This window comes from Homo sapiens, chromosome 4, assembly GCF_000001405.40.
Source record: "Homo sapiens chromosome 4, GRCh38.p14 Primary Assembly".
In the NCBI taxonomy this organism is placed as follows: Eukaryota; Metazoa; Chordata; class Mammalia; order Primates; family Hominidae; genus Homo; species Homo sapiens.
Genome location: NC_000004.12, coordinates 31,537,210 through 31,560,260, shown reverse-complemented (window position 1 = coordinate 31,560,260; position 23,051 = coordinate 31,537,210). Strand labels below are relative to the sequence as shown.

Sequence of the window (23,051 nt, the reverse complement as noted above, 5' to 3'; positions counted from 1 at the left end):
CTACTTCCTAAAGTAAATTACCTCCGTATTTATTTTAGAAGTCTTTTAAATAGCTTTGTCTATTCCTTTCCAGATTAAATATCTTTAAAATTTAAGTGTAGCATATAAATTAATTTGAAATGATGATAATGGTAACAGAAAAGATTCTTTGTATTTTTATTAGAAACATTTTAATAATTTTTTAAAGCAAAAGAGGCATAAAGAATCTTAAGAAATACTGTGCCCAATCATCTTGTCTTAGAGATATGCTGCCCCAAGTCATACAAGTGATCTGTGTTACAGCAACTTAGGAAAGTTGATTCCCTGACTCTGGGTCTATTACTTTTACCACTGCAAGAGGCTCATGTGGATTTTGTTTACTTTACCTTTTCTTGTTTTTCAAGGGCATAGAAAGGCGGAGCTGCATGGGGGGACTCATTTGTGCATTGTTTTCTGGTTATCAGTGATTTTTATTTGCTTACTTCTAAGGAATTTTATAAAATATTTACACACAACTAAACAAGTAAATTAAATTACCAAAATCTTTTGGAGGAGGCACAAAAATAAATATTCTAGGAGCCCTCATGATTAGTAAATATATTTTGCATTTACTTTTATGTTTTCCAAAGCTAAAATAAAGCATGGAGTTGTGTAATACCATTTGCCAATGGCAAAAACATACCATTTTCATGTGATAGAACTTTTCTGCATACTAAATTATCAAATTTAGTTACTTGCAGTTTTTTCAACTAATTGTTTGGAGTATGAATAAAATCATACATATAATAGCAATTATTTTCATGATTGCTTCTTCTGACGATAGACTTTCTTCAAATGGCTCTTAGAGTTTATAGTTTTATCTGTGTCTATATACCTATAGTAGAAGCAGAGCATTATTAATAATTAAAGAAAATGTGGGAGGTGGAGTAAGTCTTGGGAAGGAGTGCTGCTATTGATGTTCATGTACATGGCTTCAATGATCTCTATAATTACAAACAATAGGGTCATATGGAATGGATAAATACTATCTTAATACTATTTTATCAGTTATAGTCGTTCTAGCTGACCTTTGTACAGGAATGAAGACAGAGTTGAATAGTAGCATCTATAGTGCCATATTCAGCTTTTCCATTTTTTTTTTTTAAAGACAGAGTCTGGCTCTGTCACCCAGGCAGACCTCAGCCTCCGCTTCCAGAGTTCAAGCAATTCTGGTGTCTCAGCCTCCTAAGTAGGTGGGATTACAGGCACCCACCAAAACTCCCAGTAATTTTTTGTAATTTTAGTAGAGACAGGGTTCGCTATGTTGTCCGGGCTGCTCTCGAACTCCCAGCCTCAGGAGATCCACCCACCTCGGCCTCCTAAACTTTTGGGATTACAGGCGTGAACCACCATGCCTGGCTCACATTCAGCTTTTTCAATTAAAAGAAAATTCTTTTGCAAGAATATAATCGGTAACACAATTGATGAGTCTGGCTTTTATTCTCACCCAGAGTGAGCATTATCTAACATCTTCATGGAGAGTGAAGAAAATTAAATTATCATCAACATTTTTTGAGGCGATTTTTGTGATTTTGGATGAGCAAAGTTGATTGAGCAAGCATTCTGTGATCCCCGGTTTTTGCCCTAAAGCCTGGAAGAGATCAGAAATGTTTTTAAAAAAATCAATAATACATATTTTTAATTAATATTATATATTATTATTTTGTTTATTATCTTATAATAATAAATATCTTAATTTATTATCAATTGGGTTAGCTAAAATGAAAGCCACACTGTTTTAGGCATGCCTGGGTGTAAAAGTTGTAATGGAAAATTCTAATTTATTAGAAATATAATTGAGAAAGTGGGACTATATTCATTGTGATATAATTAACTATGGATATTTCGTTAAGTTCTCCTACAACAAGTTGAGGACGAAGTAAAGTACAATTTTTGTACACCAATTTTTAAACTAGACATTAAAAGAGCTGTCTACTCACGTCACTGTACTTAACTAACAAACAAGTCTATAAATCAGATACCGATATTCCCATTTAACAGACCAGAAACTGAGGTAAAAATATTCTCCGGTAACTGGTTCAAAACCAGCCAGATGATAAATTGTAACATAGGTATTACAATACTGGCTTATCTGATTTCAAAGCTCATCTTCCCTTCAGTTCTTTTTATATCTTTAAAATAACTGCGTTCATAAAAACACACTATTTATAGTGTGTACTTGCAATAGTTTCATAAACAAGGAAAACATATGGTTTAGGAGCAAACATTTCTTCATCGATTACTATTTCTCCATTCTAAGATCTTATCTGAAGGAATCTTTTAAAGTATTCTAGATTTGTTTTTATAGTTCTTAATTATTCCATCATTCTCTCCCTCAAGGTGAAGTCTTACTGCTGCCTCTTAATTTTAGCAACATATTTTACTACCTTGTTATTTCCCACAGCAGCTAGCATTGTTTCTTATTGTGAGTAGCCTCTCTGTTAATCATAGTTGGTTTTCTACCATTGCAAAACAAACCGACTCAGAACATTGGATTAAAATCATTTATTATTTCTTAAGATTCTGTGGTTACACCAGGCAGTTTTTGCTTTGTTTTGTTTTGTTTTGTTTTTACCGACACCTCCTTGTCTCATTCATGGAGTTGCAGTCTACTGTGACTCAGCAGAAAATGGATGGTTTATGATCACCTGACTCCCATATATCTGGAGTTGTGCTGATGGCAATTGGCAGGTCCTCCCTCTTTCAAGCTGGTCTCTCATCAGTTAGCAGTGTGGCTTGGCTTCCTTAAAGGAGAGAAAAAGCATGAACAACAAGGACTCTTGGGGCTATTCTCTAGAATTCACATAGTGTTTAATTTGCCTATTCCTATTGGTCAAATAAGTCACAGGACCAGCCTGGATTCAGGATTTGGGGAAACAGTCTCCACCTTTTGATAGAAGGACTGTAAAATATTGTATCCATATTTTCAATCTCCCATAATCATGCATATTTATGTTAGTATTACTAGAAAAAGTACTAGTATTAGTATTAAGAGATACAGAATTGTGTAGAACTAATATCTCCAACTCGAGAGCATGATGGCCCTGGGTTCAAACCCCAGCACTACTACTTAGATCTGTGTAAACTTGGGAAAGTTAATAAATCTTTCTGCATCTCAGTTTTCTTATATCTAAAATAAGGATGATTTAATAGTATCTACCAATAAGGATATTAAGAGGATAAAATTGATTTATATCATAAAGTGCTTAGAACAGTACCTGGCTTGCAGTAAGCACTACATAAGCGTTTACATTTTCCATATTCTGTAATCTTAGAGTTAGTTAATTAATATACTAATGAAGTACTTTGAAGCAATTAACTACTTACGGCATATTTGATGCTTAAATCTAGATAGTGTCCAGGTTTATCATTGTTTCAGATTAAAGTCCATATTGGGAACAGATATAATACCACCTCACTTTTCTTCACCTGCCTTCCTTGCAAGTTAACCTTCTCAAATATTCTTTCTCTCTCTCCATTCCATAGTCATTCTAAATATAATCAGTTGCATGTCTTAAAACTATCTTCTTCCATTTAGCCCTTTGCCAATGCCTTGGTTGACTTTCAGACCCTCATAATAAAGTATTACAGTGACCTCCCTATAAATGTGACAGCTTGCTTTTTGTCTTGGTTAAAATTATCTCAAATACAAAACTTGAGACAAGGATATGGGTACTGACAGACAATCTATTTGGGAAGTGATCACAGGCAGCAGTATTTAGGGAATGAGTTGCTGGTGTGGGAACCAGGCTCAAATCCACTGGGAGTGTTGACAAATGTGAAGACTCATCACATGCAAAATGGAAGAGGTGCATTTATCAGTCAACTTCCATCCTTCACAGATGACGACCTAAACCTGAGAGGCTTAAAACACCCCTCTCTACCTCCCTGCTACGACTTCCGGGCTGTGCTTATGGAGAAACTACAGGAATAAAAAGTTCCTTGAGCAAATTATAAATTATACAGCTTGCAACTGAGGTAAGACAGTGGGAAAATTTGGTGAATGTGAGCTCACAAGATGTGACTGAAATCACAAGTGGATTGAAGGAATATAATGCAGTCAACAGAGGCATCTGCTATGTCCACATATAACTTCCACCCAGTTACCAGAATAAACCTTCTCTCTTAATCCATTTAGGCTGCTATAACAAAATACCATAGAGTGGGTAATTTATAAACAATAGAAATTTACTTCTCCCACTTCTGGAGGCTGAGATGTTCTAGATAAAGGCTCCAGCAGATTTGCCGTCTGGTGAGGACCCACTTCCTGGTTTTTAGAGGGTTGCCTTTTTGCTGTGTTTTCACGTGACAGAAGTAACAATGGAGCTCACTGAGGAGGGTGGAGGGTGCTTGTTATAAGGGACTAATAATCTCTTAATGACCCCCTTATAAATTTGTTTCAATGCATGAATTTTCATGGAGATATAAGTGGTCTATAAGCATCTGCTATGACCTAAATCTGACCTCGTCAAATTCCATCCCCCAAAGACGTCGACAAATTAATCTCCAGGAACCAGTGAATATGTTATGTTACATGTCAAAAGAGACTGTGCAGATGTAATTAAGGTTATGGATTGTAAAAGGGGGGATTATCCTGGATTTTCTGGATGGGCTCAGTGTAATTCGACGGGTGGTTAAAAACAAACAAAAAAAGTTTGTCTAGATGTGAGCAGAACAGACTTGGTAGAAGATAAGCAGCAAAAAGTGAAGTCAGAGAGATTCCAAGTGTGAGAAGGATTTGATGAGCCATTGCTTGTTCTGAAGTGAGAGGGCCACATATAAGGAACAGAAAGAAACCTCTAGGAGCTAGAGGCCACCCCTAGCTGACAGCCATCAAAGAATAGGGACCTCAGTTCTACAGTTATAAAAAGCTGGATTCTTTTAACAAGCTGAATGAACTGGAAAGCAGATTCACCCCAAAGCCTCCAGAGAAGAGCCCAGCCAATAAATACTTTGACTTTAGCCTTGTAACTCTTGGGTCATATAAACCAATTGAACCAAATGGGACTTTTTGACCTGTAAAACTGTGAAATAATTAATTTGTATTGTTTTAAAACACTAAATTTGTGGTACTTAGTTGTGGCAGCAATAGACAACTAATATAACATGCAAAACATGTCAATAATTTTCCATCACTTTTGCTGGATAATGACCAATGAATTCATTTGCAGAACATTTGATGTCAACCCAGCCTAGACTTCCAATGTCAGCTCCTGCAAAACCCCCTGAGAGATCTAGCTGAAACAATACCAGAAATACTTTCATGATTTCTACCCATCCATGCACACCATTTCATCATGCTTTTTAAAATATGCATCAACATTTTGAACACTATTCTCTTTGTCCTAAATTACCATGTCACTTTCCTATTCAAATTGTGAAAGAATTCTCACCTAAACAAAGAAGAAAAGAAAACTCTTTTAGGCTCAAAAAGCAAATAATGTAGAACAAAACAAAATAGAGCTAAAATAAAATATAAGGAAATGTAAATGTACTTAGGAAGTTCTGAATCATAATGAGATAAGGCAGGCAAAGGAGGAAAAGAACAGATCTTGAATGATCCTGGATGCTATTGTAAGGGGCTTATTCTTTTAATCTATCATTTGAGAGAATCCATTGATGGATATTTTGTAGAGGAGTTGCATAGTGAGATTGGAGGCTTTTTATAATAGTGCTCTGAGACAGTATGAAAGAGACAATTGAAAAAGTCATAATGAAAGTATACCATGCCATTAATAGGAAAGATACAAATTAGAAAGGATGTGTAACATAAGCATTGGTGGAGACAATAATACCTAAGAAATATTTGGCTTAGTGTATTCAGCAATAAAAAATTAGTGAATTAATGTTACACACAACCTGAATGAATCTGAAAAATATTATGCTGAACAAAATAAGTCACATACAAAAGAATATGCGCAATATGGTTTTGCGTATTAAAGTTCTAGAAAAAGTAAATCTAAATTGTGGTGATAAAACTCACCTCAACGGTTGCCTTGGGAGGATGACTCTGATTCTAAGAAGTTATGTGTAAACTTTTTGGGATTTTGAAAATATTTTATAGCTTGATTAAGGTGGTGTTTCTATAGGTAGATAAATTTGTCAAAACTCAACAAACATACATTAAAATATATGCATTTTATTTTTGAAAATTATAACTGACTAAAGTCTATTAAAACATTTAGAGGCAAAATTAGCAAAAATATAGATTTGAGGGGTAAGGGGAGGAGATATTCAAGTAATAAAGCCAATAACATCAGACTTTCAACATGGGCATAAGGACACGGGAATGTCATGAGTTGAGCGAGGGAATCCATAGGGTGAAGTAGGATAGAGGGACATGATAATGATGAGTTCAATTTGCAATGTAAGTCTGCAGTGTGCATGAAATCTCCACATAGAGGTGTTTGTATTTTTGAGATTGAAATCCAGAACAAAACATGAAAACTTGTATTTCTGTCATCATTTTTGGTATTGTCCATGTGCTTTATTTAATTATTTATAATTTAACTAGTCATGGCAGATATCCAGGAAAACCATTCATGTTTATGTATTGATTAATTCTGTGACTTGCTTCATTAGCAAACTCTCTAAGTTCTCATTGTTTCTAAATCATTCTCATTGTTTCTAAATCATTCCCATGGGTTTTCTATGTAGATAATCATAATGTCTGCAAATAATGAAATTACTTTCTCTTCCTCAGCTTTTAGATTCTTATTGGTATCCCCATCCTTTCCATACTGAAGACACTTTCAGCACAATGATAGAGAATAGAAGCCAAATGCCTTGATATAGCTGTGAAATAAGATTTTCCTTGCAATTCATTGAATTCTAGAACAGGGAAAGAACCAATTAGCATGGTGTAATCTTCAGTGGCATGTATTTTAGAGTTGCACAGAAATTGATTTATGTCTTAATAATGTCATTTTAATAGTGATATGATCTTGGACAAGTGGTTTAACATCCATGAGGCAAAATTCCCATAACAGTAAATTTTAAAAAAGAATAATAATACTTTTCATGTGCATTTCTGTGAAGATTAAGTGTAATGCAATACCAGATGTGGTAAGTTGTTTGAAATAATATCATAATATCCACAAATATTCTTTTCTAATATCCATGGCTTTTTACAATGGCTTTGCAGCAACTTTGATGAAGGGCTAGTTTATTTTTTATCTGAATTTAGATGGCCTTATGACTTGCTTTGATGAATAGAATGCAGTACAAGTCAATACCTAAAATCTCAGACTCAAAATGTTGTAGAAACCAAGAAACTCTTATTTTAGATCCTATGAATCTCTGTTGTCAATATCTCGTGTTCAGTATGTAGTTGGGCAGTTTTTTTGTCAGCCAAAATGAAAATCTTCTCTTCTAACAATTAAGTCTATTCATATTTATTTCTATGACTATTATTATTGGTCTCAGCTGTCAGATTTATAATTGCTATTTGTATTATATTTGATATATTTTATTGATGATGAATAATTTTTTTTTTAAATTTAGTTGATATTTAGAAATATCAGTAGTTTTGATCCTATGATTATCTTTATACCTTTACTTTTTTAAAAGCCTTTAATCTCTCTTTTTTTTTACATTTTACTCTGCTACTTCTTATGGCATCTTTTGGTTCCCACCTATTGATTTTTCATTATTCAGTGAATATATATTTCTTATTCCCATCTCCCTTTTTCTACCATTCTTTACATTCATTATTTTGACTCTGTCAGAATACATTTTGATTTATATATGTATACATATTGAAGTACACATATGTATGTTTGTATATGTATATGTGTATATCTACAATAATTTTTTGGCCCTTGCCTTTACAATTAAATGTTCATCAATAGTGCTTTTGCCAGTGTTTATTTAGTCATCTCTTGGTTAGATGAAGCACATTTTTTAACACAGGAATTAATATGCTCCCAGGGGCCAAATCTGGCATGCATCCTGTTAAATTATGGTCCATGAAAGTTGTATTTCACAATTTTAAACAGTTGTAGAAAAACAAAAGAAGAAGAAAATATGACAGAAACACATAGAACCAACAAAGCTTAAAATATTCATTATGTGACTCCTTAGCAAAAACTTTTCTGACCACTCTAGTCAATTGCTTGAGAACAGCTAGTGAGTATAGTATTCCCTGGGCTATGCACTATTTAAAACAATATTTGAATAGCTTTGATACTTGATGGACAATTTAATAGTAAACATCCTTTTTCACTCATTTTTTAATTAAATTTCTTTAAAAACTGATGCTCCATTAAAGGCTTGCTTTTTATATTGTTTTGATAAATCTGATGCCAGTCTAATTGTATTGTCTTGTTATTTAATTGGTAATTTCATTTGGAAGTTGTGGTGGTTAATTTTATATGCCAACTTGGCTTGTCCACAGTACCCCAATATTTGTTCATACACATCTGAATATTGCTGTGAAGGTATTTTTTAAATGAGACTAATATTTAAATAAGTAGACTTTGAGTAAAATAGACACTCTTCATAATGTGGATGAACCTTATCCAATTAGTTGAAAGTCTTGAGAAAATTAAGAATGATCTCCCCCAGGGAAGGAGAAATTCTGCCAGCAGACAGCCTTCAGATTCAACTTCAACTCTTCCTTGGGCTTCAACCTGTCCATTTACCCTGAAGACTTTGGAATTGCTAGCTTTCCCAATAGCATGAACCAATTTTTAAAAATAAACCTCTGTGAGTGTACGTGCGTGTGTGTGTTGTGTCTGAGTGTGTAGATAGATAGATGCACATATATTTATAATCATCTATATATTCATGTGCATTTATGTGTATATATATTTATAGATATATTTATATATGGCTATATACATAGTCATATATATTCTCATATATATATATACTTATATATAGAGACCTTTTATTTTTATCACTGTTCCCCTATATTTAATATGTATTTTTTCCTTACTGCTTTTGAGATTATTTCTTAATCTTTAGGTCTCAAATTTAATTATAATATGATTAGGTGGTGTTTTCTTTTTAATTAACATTCTTGGCCTTTGTTTCACTCTAAAAATCTTTGGGTTACTGTAAGTTACCAAATTTGAAAAATTTTCAGGAAATAATTCTTCAAATAGTTTTACGCATAATTTTTTCTCTCTTCTTTTTCTGGAACTCTGATAGAAATATGTGAATATAAGCTGTTCTCCCATTACAGGAAAGAAAATTCCTTTCCCTGTGATTTTTTTAAAGGAAAAAAATTATAAAGATGAAATTCATACACCATATAATTCATGCATTTAAAGTGTATAATTCAGTGTTTTCTAGTGTATTCACAGAGTTGTGCTATAATCAGCATAGTCCATTTTAGAACATTTTTGTCATTCCCAAAATAAACCTTGTACTCTTCACCTTACAACCTTCCCATTGCCTCTAGCCCTAGGCAACCACTCATCTACTTTCTGTCTCTATAGATTTGCTTATTATGGACATTGCATATACATGGGATCACACTAATATTGTCTTTTGTCACTGGCTTCTTTCACTGTACTAAGTGAAACATTATACTTAATGTTTCAAAAATTGACCCATGTTGTATCATCTATCAGTGCTTCATTCCTTTTTGTGACTGAATAATACTTCATAGGATAATGGTCATCCATTTATCAGTTGATAGGTCTTTGGGTTGTTCCCATATTTTGACCTTTTTGCTCCTTGACTTTTAATTCAAAAAGAAAAAGGGAAATCCTTAAACAGGACTTTCCCATGAGACTTACAGAAATGTTAAACCCAGGGAAAACATCGATTAGGATCAAACTGGAAATTTTGAAATACTGTTCTTTATTCTACTTACAAATTATCCTTCTATGATATAAATTTATTAAAGCAGAGATTTTTAAATGTGTGGTTTATTTTCTATCTCTAGAGTAGGTGGTCAGTTATCTATAGAATTAATAAATGAATATATTTTCTGCCTCCAATACCAGGGAATAGTCCTCACTTAAAAATTTCTTTGGGGCCGGACGTGGTGGCTCACACCTGTAATCCCAGCAATTTGGGAGGCCAAGGCAGGTGGATCACCTGATGTCAGGAGTTGAAGACCAGCCTGGGCAACATGGTGAAACCCTATCTCTACTAAAATACAAAAAATTAGCTGTTTGTGACTACGTGTGCCTGTAGTCCCAGCTACTTGGGAAGCTCAGGCAGGAGAATTGCTTGAACCCGGGAGGCGGGGGTTCCAGTGAGCCGAGACCATGCCACTGCACTCCAGCCTGGGTGACAGAGTGAGATTCCATCACAAAAAAAAAAAAAAAAAAAAATTAGCTGGGTGTGATGGTGGGGGCCTATAATCCCAGATACTTACTTGGGAGGCTGAGGCAGAAGAATTGCTTGAACCCAGGAGGCAGAGGTTGCAGTGAGCCGAGATTGCACCATTGTACTCCGGCCTGGGCAAAAAGAGTGAAACTCTATCTCAAAAAAAAAAAAATTTTTCTTTGGGTAAACAATATTTTTCTCACACTTTTTGTTGTGTGAGACAGGTGATTATTTCCATGATTTATTCCATACTTAAGGGCAGAATATGTCTACTGTTAGTTTTTTTAGAGACTATTCCAAGCGCTTGTTGTAGCCATCAAAGAGGGTCCTGAATTTTATCTGAAGAATGTCTAACATGATAGTTAATAGTCATTGTTTAAGGCCTCAATTTGGGAATCTAGTAATTAGTCTCATACTGAATTATATTATCTTCATCTCTTTATTTCATGCATATTCAACCAAACATTTGTTCAACACATATGACTTTGCTGATGACTTTGCCAATAAATGAATTTACTGGCAGCACAGTAAATGCAAAAAGAAAAATATAGCCACACTACTTTTCAGTTCCTTTTGAGACGTGTTCTTACTTTGTTGCCCAGGCTGGGGTACAGTGGCATGATCATGGCTTACTGCAGCCTCAAACTCCTATGCTCTATCAGTCTTCCTGCCTTGGCCTCCCAAAGTGCTGGGGTTATACACATAAGCCAACATGGCCTGAACCTTGCAGCTATTCTAATCAATGTGTAGTTTATATTTATGCCCTTTGAATCTGAGCTGCCCTGGTGATTTCCTTTGAATGACAAAATTTAGAAACGATGGAAGAATTTGAAGACTTGACCTTAGGAAGCCTTGCATATTCCACTCTTGCTGTCATTGTGGACCTAGTTGCCATTTGAGTAAGCCTGGGCTGACCTACAGGAGGCAGAAATAAACCATCAAAGAAGAGACTCTTTGAGACCAATGAGCCATGAGACAACCTGGCAGCTGACCACGTTTCACATGAGTCTTGCCAAAACCAGTGGAAAACTTAACCCAGATAAATGTGGCCCAACATGTAGACTTACAGAATAGTGACATAAATAAATAATATTTTAAGCTACAAGTTTTGGGTTAAGTGGTTAAAGCAGAAAGTTAAATAATGTCATTGTATAGTGGCCAAAAAGCCATGTATATCAATAATCACATAGTTAAAATGAAAGTATCAAAAGTCTAGAAAAATGCAGAAATATAGCTGAGAAAATTTTTAATCTTAACTTTTTTTGAACTTCTCCTTTTTGAATGCAGTGGTAGTCTCTTTCATATTTTCATCATGAATTGTTATACATGAATACATGCAACAAAAGTGTTCTATCAGGCAGTCATTTTTTCCATTATTTTAGCTTTTTCTGGCCTTTTTATGATCATCTGTGAAATCAACTGTGACTTTGAGAAAGTTGTTGGCAGTTGTAAATTTATTTATTGAAAAGTAGAAATAAGACTTCTACAAGAGAAAAATGAAAATGTATCAACTCAATCAGAAAAAAATATTAAAGAACTTTTCTCAGTAAAAATAACTCATTTTTTTCAGACATTTGAAATTGAAAAAATAAAATCTATAGGCAACCACATTGTTAATAATGAGGTGTTTGATATCTAGCAGCAATTATGGTCAGCCTTCATACAAGTACAAGAAACATGGAGTGAATAAAAATAAAACAGAAGATTTACCATCTCTGACGAATTCATGTGTGAGTGAAACCAGATGTACAACTTTAGAACTAAAAGGGGCTTATGAAGTCATAAAACTTAACACTCTTCAGTTTAAAAAGAGGAAATAGGGATTCATGGTAAGCTCTTTTGCCGGTGACAAAAACTAGTATTACACATTGGCCTGGGATCTAAGTTTTCAAAGTCCAGTTTACTAGTTTTTCATATATATTTTTGACAATTAATTTTATATTTTACCGTAAAATTGGAATGCAGCTTTACTTAGTGATAAAGATACAAATCTATAGAAATTTTAAATAATGTATTTAGCATGCATTTACTTAAGGAAAATCTTTATATACTTCAATCTTCCTTGAAATACATTGTGTTTTTTTCTTTATTCTACAAATTCTGAAGTAAACGTGACTTTTTAATATGCTTTTGTATATAACAGTTTTGAATGTACTTAGGTAATCAACTGTTTTCCATATTATAAGCTTTTTCTATTTTATTTGTATTAAAATGTTAGTTAAGTAAAAAAAATAGTTTATTTCCAAAGCAAATTGTAGATATGAAGACAGTGGTTAACATTCTATATTTTGGTATAAGCTTTGGTATAAGTTTGAATTTGCTATATATGTTATTAGCTTTCTACTACTGAGGCACTTATTTTATCTATATCTAAGTTACTTAACTTCCATGAGACTCAATTACATCATCATTGAAATGGCTTAATAAGACTGTTTGGGAAAATGGAAATGATTGTCTTAGTCTGTCTTGTGCTGCTATAAGAAAAAAAATACCTAAGACTGGATAATTTATAAAGGATAATAATTTGTTTTCTCAAGGATCTGGAAGCTAGAAAGTCTATGATCAAGGTGCTAGCATCTTAAATGGCCCTTCTTGCTGTGCTATAACATGTCAGAAGACATCACATGAGGAAGACAGAGAGAAAAGGGGGGTGAACTCATCTTTTTATTACGAATCTACTCCAACGATAATGAACCCACTGTTGAAATAATGGAATTAATTCATTCATGAGGTAAGGACTCCCGTGACTTAACCAATTTGAAAGGTCTCACCTCTTAACACGGTTGCATTTGGAATTAAGTTTCAAACACATAAACTTTGGGGAATGCATTTGAACCTTAGCAATGATTATGTGCATTGTAAAAATGGGAATTGCAGGACCTATTTTCCTTGGATTTGTAGTTTTGGGAAAGTCAGCTACATTTTTTAGTAGTACATTTTTTAGTTTGGACATCAAAGACAGGACTCCTGTTTTTCGTAATGGGAAAAACCTTTGACCATATACCTAAGAGACATTTTTTTAAAACAAGTGCCTTAGAAGAGGCTGGTACCCAAAACAGGAAAGAGCCTCAGTGTTGCATATATCAAGATAAGGTGATTGATACTAACAAATGATCTGCACATACTCTTCTAATCCAAATGCTCATGTGTTTTAATCAGACACATTTAGGGTAAAAAATATTTTTTAACAGAAAAAGTGAAGTTTTAAGTATGTGGAAAATTAACCAGTGTGAATAAGCTATTCCCCAGTGAGAACAGAATGACATAATGATTTAAAAGAAAAACTCACTTGAGAAGCTTGACGGTATCAGTATAAGTTGAAGTACTGGATTTCTTCCTACTGTCTTTTTTTAAAATTTTTTCCAATGCTTTTCTCTAACCTTTCCTCCAGTGTTTTTAAATTAGTTAATTAACTGTTTAGTGATCAACACTGTCAAAACTAAATTAATATCTATAGAAACATTTCCTTAAGGAGTGCTGCAAATTTCTAGTTACAAGAGCAAATTGTTGCATTACAGCCAGTAGACTGGGATTTATATGGAACCTGAAATAAATTTTTTCCTATATTTTATATTAACCTGGTTCAAATCAGAGGTACACCAGCATTGGAATACCCATTAGTTGAGAAAAACAAAATTAAACCAGTATTCTAGGTCAATATTTTTTAAACTTTTTAAAAAGTTTGATCAATTCTATTTTTGCCCATTAAATACTTGCACACATGCACATTTCTGTATATAATTTAAAATATTTCTTACTTTTACTAAATGTGATCCATTTCTATTTTAATCTGTTCTTTTTCATTTAAGAAATGTTCTTTTTCTAGTTTTAGCTCCAACAGTTAAAGAGCCTGAAAGTCATCACTTCAGTTCTGACAAGTTGAGAAATCTTAACAAACTGAAACCTTATGACTTTTCTTGAAGTTATCAGAGAGACCTGAGGTCACAGAGCAAACTGAGATCTTGAAATATGGAGAGATAGGTTGAATCCAAAAGTCATTGCCAAGATCTATTCATCTGGAGCAGAGGCTGCTGGGGTCAGCAAGTCAGAACAAGTAATCTTAATGAATGCTGAAGACTGAGTGTGAACTACAGGGAGAGTGAGTAACTTCTGAGGCTACAGTTAAGTGGGTACTTTCTCCAGGAACCCCATCAGTCTCTCACAGTCAGGAGCCAAGAAGGATACCCTCTTGGCTCTAGCGGTGGGAAGGGAAGAATAATCATCATGAAATAAATTCAAGTTTTACCCACAAAAAGATTTAATCTGTAGGGGAAAAGGCTAACATAGGGTTATCCCATCTAGGAGAAGATAACTGCTCAAACATCACACTGCTTGCCTTCCTGTCTCACTTAAGTGGGGATAAAAAGTTAAAAAATGTGTGAAAATCACAGCCCAGAAACATCAGCTCACTACCAGACAGAATTTAATCATAAGATTACACAATACTTTCTTTCTCCTACAACTAGACCACTAGACCAACAGGTTTCAGTGGAATAGCAGTGGATTATAGCTAACAACAACAACAAAAAAGCTGCAAGTTTCAGACTCTCCCTGAAAGCAATTATTAGAAAAGCCCAAAGACCATGTAGAAGACAGAGAAAGAAAAGAAAAATAATTTTAATCCTTAGTACATACAACTATAGAAAACAGTAAACACAATCCTATTTCAAGCAGGAGTAACATAAATCTTCACACAAAAGGCCACATATAATGTAATCCTTATTAACAGGACAGATACATCATGTCTGACTTTAACAAAAAGTTATAAGGCCTGCCAAACGGCAAGAAAAAACATATTTTGAAGAGACAAAGCATTCATAATAACAAGAACTAAAGCTGATATAGATGTTGGAATTGTCAAACAAGGAATTTTAAATAACTATGAATATATAATAAACATATAAAATAAATAGAAAACAGTTATAAATGTGGTAGATATTAATACAACTATATCGACAATCATTTTAAATGTGAGTGGTCTGGATATTGTAATTAAAAGAAAAACTGGTAGGATACAGAAAAAATAATACACAATGTCTATTAAAAAATTCAGTTAACTATAGATATATACATAGATTAAAAGTATATAAATGGAGAGTTACATCATGCTAACAGTAATAAAAGAAAGCTAGTGTAACTATTTAATTTCCAACAAAGAAAACTATAGTGCAATAAAATTCCAAGTGTTAGAGCGGCATTGCATAGTGCTAAAGGGACCAATTCTCCAAGAAAACATAATAATTCTAAAGGTATATGAAAGACGATAATATTAGGAGGTGGGGCCTTTGGGACAGTGATAAGGTCATGTATTAGGGTTCTCTAGAGGGAGAGAACTAGTAGGCTATATATATGTGTGTATACATATATATGTATACACACATACATATATATACATATATGTATGTGTGTATACATATATATATGGGAGTTTATATATATACACACATTATATATAGCTTATTAGTTCTCTCCCTCTAGAGAACCCTGACTCTCTCTCTGTCTCTCTCTCTCTCTCTATATATATATATATAAACATATATATATAGATAAACACATATATAAAAAGGGAAGTTTTTAGACATAAAAGGAGGAGTTTATTAGATATTAACTCCCTTAATGACTTTGCGGATAAATGAATTTACTGGCAGCACAGTAAATGCAAAAGGAAAAAAGAAAAATACGGCCACACTACTTTTCAGTTCCTTTTGAGACTTGTTCTTACTTTGTTGCCCAGGGTGGGTTACAGTGGCATGATCACAATCACAAGGTCCCATAGTAGGCCATCTGAAAGCTGAGGAGCAAGGAGAGCCAGTCTGAGTCCCATAACTGAAGAACTTGGAGTTTCATGTTCCAGGACAGGAAGCATCCAGCATGGGAGAAAGATGTAGGGGGTGGCTGGGAGGCTAGTCCAGTCTAGTCTTTTCACATTTTGTTTCTGCTTGCTTTATAGTCTAGCCACACTGGCAACTGATTCGATGGTGCCCCCGCAGATTAAGGGTAAGTCTGCCTTTCCCAACCCACTGACTCAAATGTTAATCTCCTTTGGCAACACCTTCAGACACACCCAAGATCAATGCTTTGCATCCTTCAATCCAGTCAAGTTGACACTCACTATTAACCATAACAGGTCATGAGGGTAAAAGTCTCATAAAGGAGATTAGCCTCTTATAAAAGAGGCCCAAACAAAACCTCCTTATCCCTTTCATCATGCAAAGAAACAGTGATGAGATGCTATCTAAGAATCCGAAAGTAGAAACTCATCAGACACCAAAACTGCCAGTATCTTGATCTTGAGCTTCTCAGCATTCAGAACTGTGAAAAACAGACTTCTTTGTTTATAAGCTACCCAGTATATAGTATTTTATCACAGCAGTCTGAAAAGACTAAGACAGAGACTCAAGTATACTTTTATCATTAATTGACAGAACGAGCAGACGGAAAATTAGTAAAGACATATTTGACATCAAGAACAATATCAATCAACTCAATCTAATTGACATTCACAGCACATCCCATTAAAAAACAGACTGTTCTTCTTAAATTCCTGTGTCTTATTTGCATAGAGAGTCCACCTTCTGGGAAATAAAACATACCTTTATAATTTAAATGTTTAGAAATCATACAATGCATGTTCTTAGACCATAATGGAATTAAACTATAAATCTATATCTAAACGATAGCTAAGAAATCCCCAACTATTTACAGCATGTACAAAATATTTTCAAATAGCATATATGACAATAAAGAAATCTCAAGAGAAATTTAAAAATATTTAGAACTAAATATAAATGAAATTACAACTTATAAAAATGTATGAGATATACCAAAAGCAATAATTAAAGAGAGATTTATAACATTAAAGACATATTAGGAAAAAGGAGAGATCAAAAATCAATAGCCTAAGCTTCTGCCTTAGGAAATTAGGAAAAGAGTGATTTAGTTCTAACACAACTAAATTAATAAAACATAATAATTAGAACAAAAGTCAATAATATTGAAAATAGGAAAAAAATGGAGATTATCAGTAAAATAAAAAGCTGAAAACTTTAAAATATCAATCAAATTGATAAACCATTAGTAAAGCTAACAGAAAGTGATCATACATTATCAATATCAGAAATAAAAAAGTAATCATTACCATTGATGTAGACATCATTAAAGGATAGTCCAGGTGTTCATTGAACAGGGCTATTCCCACAAATTTGATGTTAGATGATATTTACCAATTTATTGAAAGATATAAAGTATTAAAACTCCTACAAGGAGAAGTAGAAAATAGTTCTATAAGTATCAACTACATTGTATCACTAATTAACAACCTTACAAAAATATAAAGCAGCCCATATTGTTTTACTGGAAAATTTTAGCAGTTATTTAAGAAAAAAAAATCAATTCTTCTCAACCTCTTCCAGGCAACAGACACAGGAAACATGTTTTCTAACTCATTATATAGGGCCAATATTATATATTGCTAAAGTGTAATGAATTTATTAAAAAGAAGGAAACTACATACTAATATCTTCCATGCATGTAGACTCAAATGTCCCAAAAAATAGTACCCAATTGAAACCACAATATATGAAAAGAATTATTTATGACAAACAAGTGTGATTTGTTTCAGCTATTTAAGATTTATTCATCACTGAAAATCAAACAATGTGACTCAACATGTCAACAAGCTGAAGAAGAAAAATCATGTGATCATGTTATTTGACGGAGGAAGAACTTCTTCAAAAAACCCAATATTAATTTACAATTAAAATAATTCACAGCAAATTGAGAATATAGATGAATATTACCAACTTGATAAAGAACGCAACATTAATTTGCAATAAAAAATACACAGCAAATTGGGAATATAGATTAACATTACCAACTTGATAAAGAACATCTGCCAAAAAACCTGTAATCAATAACACACAGAATTAGATGCTTTCCCCATAAGATAAGAAACAAAGTAAGGATGTCTTCTCTCAGCACATCTATTCAACACTAGATTGGAAGTCCTAGCTACTGCAATTAGACAAGGAAAATAAAAGCTATGCAGTCAAGAAGGTAATAATAATGATTTTTTAGTGACATGATGACATGATTATCTTTGTAGAAAATTTTAAAGATCCTACAAAAAGAAAAATTTCCTGGAATTAAAGTGAATATGAAAATATCACAAGATACAAAGACAATATACAAACTCAATTGCTTTCCTATATACTAACAATGAAAAATTGGAATGTGAAATTATAAAAAAGATACCATTTATAATAGTACCATAAAAGGAAATACATAAGTATAAATTTAGCAAAATACATTCACAGCTTATACGCAGAAAACTACAGAACTCTGATGAAAAAGTTACAGAAGAGATAAATAAATAAATATGTTACGTTTATGAATTGGAGAATTCAATATTGTAAAGCTGTCAATTCTTCACAACTTTATAGATCCCATTCAAAATCACAGAAAGCTGTTTTAGATATTACCCACCTGATTCTAAACTTTATAGCGATAAGCAAAAGACTTAAAATTACCAACAAAATAGTACAGAAGAAGAAAAAATTTAAGAACATACAGTAGCAATATCAAGATCTATTTTAATAGAGCTAATGAAGACCTTGTAGTATTGCCAAAAGAAAAGATACATAGATTAACAGAATAGAATAGAGTCCAGAAATAGACCCATGCAAATATAGCCAACTGATCACTGACAAAGGAGTGAATTAATTCAATGTAGAAGAAATACTTTTTAACTAATAATATTCCAAAGATTAGAAATTCCTATGCACAGAAATGAACCTACAAGCAGGCACTAGTTCTTTCATAAAAATTAACTCAAAATGTATCATAGATCTTAAATATAGAAGCACAATTATAAAACGTCTAGAAGAAAAACTAGGAGATCTTCAGTTTGGAAATTTTTAAAATAAAACAATAAACTCATGATCTATGAAGGAAAAGCTGATAAGCTGAACTTGGTTAAAATTAAAAATTTCTATTCTGCAAAAGATACTATTAAGAAAATGAAAATACAGACCACCAACTGTTAGAAAATAATTGGAAAACACCTATAATGAAAAACTTGTGTTCAAATATACAAAGAACTCTCAAAACTCAACAATACAAAAAAAATTCATTTTAAAAAGAAAAAAAATCTGAACAAATACCTTGGATGTAAAGATGGAAAATAAACATGTGAGAAGATGGTCAACATCATTTGTCATTAGAGAATTGCAAATTCAAATAGTATAACAGCACATTAGAATGGCAAAAAAAAAAAAAAAAAGAAAGAAAAGCAAACACACACCAAAAAAACTGACAATACCAAACAGGATGAAAAGCAACAGGAAATCTCGTTCATTCCCGATGAGAATGCAAAATGGTACAGCCCCTTCAATAACAGTTTAGCAGATCTTATAATGCTAACTAACAGTCTAGCAATTGGACTTCTAGATATGTAACTAAGTGAAATGAATACTTTTGTCTACATAAAAACTTGCACATATACGTTTATAGTAGCTTTATACATAATCACACAAAACTAAAAGCAAACAAAATGTCCTTCAATAGGTGAATGGATAAACCTGCGGTATATCCATACAGTTTAATATTATTTTGTGATTAAAGTAAATTTGGTAGGAACTAATGAAAAACTAGATGAGTCTTAAATATAAAAAAGTATAGTTTGTGTTTCTTTTCCTTCCAAGATTGTTGAATAAAGGTTTTGCCAGCATAACTTAACCACTTGGAAATAGCAAAATAGTGTGTACAGATTAATGTTGTGAATTTTCACTCAAGAAAGAATGTGGGAGTTCAACAGAAAAGCAAGGAAAACTTCAGATATTGAGAAAAAGAATGCAGACAGCAACCCACATTTACTTTGTCCAGCTGAAAATTAGTGAATCTCAAGTGTGTGTTTTTTGGGGTGAGGGTAGTGTCTCTGTGATACACATTCCCACTGAGGAATCATGCAAGCCAGACCACAGGGGAGCCTCTTGACCATCCCAAGCCTTGGATCTAACATGGGAAGGAGCCAGGAGACTGTGAGAAAGAATGACACTGGGAAGTGTTCCATTAATGTTTTCATTCCTGGAGACAAATAGAAAGAAGCCATTTCTGATGCTAGCTCACAGCAGGCTGTATGGAAACCTGCCAGCCAGTGGAGGTAACAGCCACTGGTTTAGAAAGTGTCAGACCAGGGATTGGCATTCTGGTCTCAGGCAGAGGAGGGAACCTATGGTCAGAACTCAGAGTTGAGTGTGGTTTTGTCTCCAGTCATGAGTGTTAGAGTTTAGCAACCCTCATTCATAGGACCAGATCATGAGGGGATTTGTCTTAGAGGCATGGTTTTGACCCAGCTGGCAAGTTCTGCAGCTTGAGGAAGTTTTAACAGATTGAAGGCACTCTGCATGTGACTTGTCTAACAGTCCCAAAAAGCTGCCAGAGTTATCCCATGAGGGACTCCTGCAAAGTTTGAGCATAAGAGCAGAGCAGATCTCACTCCTACTTACTCCTGCCTCTCCTGGCTGTGGAGCTAGGACTGCCCCTCTTTCCTAGTACTGTGACTTAAGCACAGATGCAGTTACTTCACTCATTGCAGGGACATTTCTCCCAAGGCCTGAGGACTGCTCCCTGACTCCAGTCAGGTCCAGCCTTTGTGCCCATCATTGTGGGGTCCAAGTGCAGGATTGCCTGGCCCAACCCTGCCTGGGTCACTTCTGCCCCCTCCTCAGAGGCAGAGCACAGAACCAGGACCACTGAGCATTCCATTGTCCAACCCATCACCTGGGACACCCAAGTAACTCCCCTAGTTAAACTCTAGTGAACAAAGGCTAAGAATAAACCCTACTGCCACCACTGCAGCTGGCTCTCACTTGTAAGTGCCACCTACTGGTCTGGAGGTTGATTTGCATAGCTCATTACAATGACTGCTGACACAAATGCACAGCACTTGCAGAGAAGCTTCTCACAATCTCTGCTACCACTATCACCCATGCCACCCCAGTTTCTCAAGAGGTCATGAGCCTGCTTACTGACCCAGCATACTGCTACAACTGACATTTGAGAAAGCCACCACACTAAGGCTATTTATGACCAATGGAATCATACAGTCTTTGCCACTGAATGCACCCAGAAGCAAAGCCAAACGGTCCTACTCAATATACATCATAATCACATTCTAAAGCAAAAAAATTCCTGCCCCAAGGAAAGTAAATTCAAAAGTAAAAAACATCAAGTTTCTTCAGATGGGAATAAATCAGTGTAAAAATACTGGAAGTGTGAAAAAGCAAGGTGTTATGACATCCTCCTCCCCGAAACAAAGTAATTCTCTAGCAATGAATCCTTACCAAAAAATAAACCAAAAAAAAAGTTTCCAATATTTCACATAAAGTATTTGAAATATTGATTTTAAAGAAGCTCGATGAGATGCAAGAGAAATCTAAAACCTATACACATAAATCAGAAAATGATTGAAGATATGAATAAGAAATTCACCAGGAAGATAAATATATTTAAAAACAAAAACAAAACAGAACTTCTGGAAATAAATGCATTGAGGGAATTACAACAAACATTTGTAAGCTTCAAAAATAGACTATACCACACAAAAGAATGAATCTCAGAACCTGAAGATGGGTCTTTTGATTTAATCAATCATATAAAAATAAAGAAAACAATAATAAAGCATGAACAAATCTTTCAAGAAGTAAAGTATCAAATAAATTGAACGCACAAATCATCAGTTTTTTTTAAGGAAAGAGAAAAAGTAAAATTCTAGAAAATCTATTTAAGAAAACAATAGAAAAATTTCCTAGTCTAGCAAAACCTTTAGACATCCAGTCAATACATTGCGGGAGAGACTACACCATGGCATATAGTCATAAGACTGTCTGAAGTCAATATGAAGGAAAAAAAAAATCCAAAATCGGCAAAAGTGCCAAGTCACCTATTGAAGAAACCTCATCAGACCAACAGTACACTTCTTAGCAGAAATCTTACAAGCCAGAAGCAATTGGGATCCTATTAAAAAAAACAAAACTGGCCGGGCGCGGTGGCTCACGCCTGTAATCCCAGCACTTTGGGAGGCCGAGGCGGGCGGATCACGAGGTCAGGAGATCGAGACCATCCCGGCTAAAACGGTGAAACCCCGTCTCTACTAAAAATACAAAAAATTAGCCGGGCGTAGTGGCATATGCCTGTAGTCCCAGCTACTCTGGAGGCTGAGGCAGGATAATCGCTTGAACTTGGGAGGAGAAAAAATGCTCAAAAGAATTCTAAACTTGAAAATGAAAATTGGTATTCACTATCATAATAACACATAAAAGTAAGAAACACACAGATCTCATGAAACAATTACACAAAGGAGGAAGAGAAAAAATCTCAATGGAAATATGACAGAATTTCACCAAACAACAAAGATAAACAGAGGACAAAAGATAAAAAAAATTCACAAAACAACTAGACAAAAATCAACATTATAACAGAAATAAAACCTCATATGTTAATATTAACCTTGGATATAAATGTACTAAATGGTTTACATAAAAGATACAATTTGGTGGAATGAATTTTTAAAACATTAAGTCATTATATTCTGCTTACAAGAAACTCATTTATCTGGTAAAAATGCTTATTGAATGCATTTTTACCTGCAATGCTTATTGCAGGTAAAGGGGTGAGAAAAGATATTTCACACAAATGAAAAACAGAAGCAAGCTGGAGTATGTACTTACATCGGATAAAGATATCAAATC

The 23,051-nt window shown here is 33.9% G+C and overlaps 1 long non-coding RNA gene across 2 annotated transcripts in view; it reads right to left on the bottom strand.

The window, feature by feature from the left end:
• Positions 1 to 1,439: 1,439 nt before the first annotated feature.
• The window catches only part of LINC02501 (long intergenic non-protein coding RNA 2501), a 52,278-nt gene continuing 30,666 nt past the window's right edge, over positions 1,440 to 23,051 (bottom strand). Inside the window, exons 2-3 of one of the 2 annotated variants that reach the window (NR_149121.1) lie at positions 2,667 to 2,762; positions 1,440 to 1,609 (exon numbers count right to left, since the gene is read on the bottom strand). This is a non-coding gene — a long non-coding RNA (long intergenic non-protein coding RNA 2501). Of the gene's footprint in view, positions 1,610 to 2,508; positions 2,763 to 23,051 lie in introns of those variants that run through there. The other variant, NR_149122.1, reaches the window with a different exon arrangement.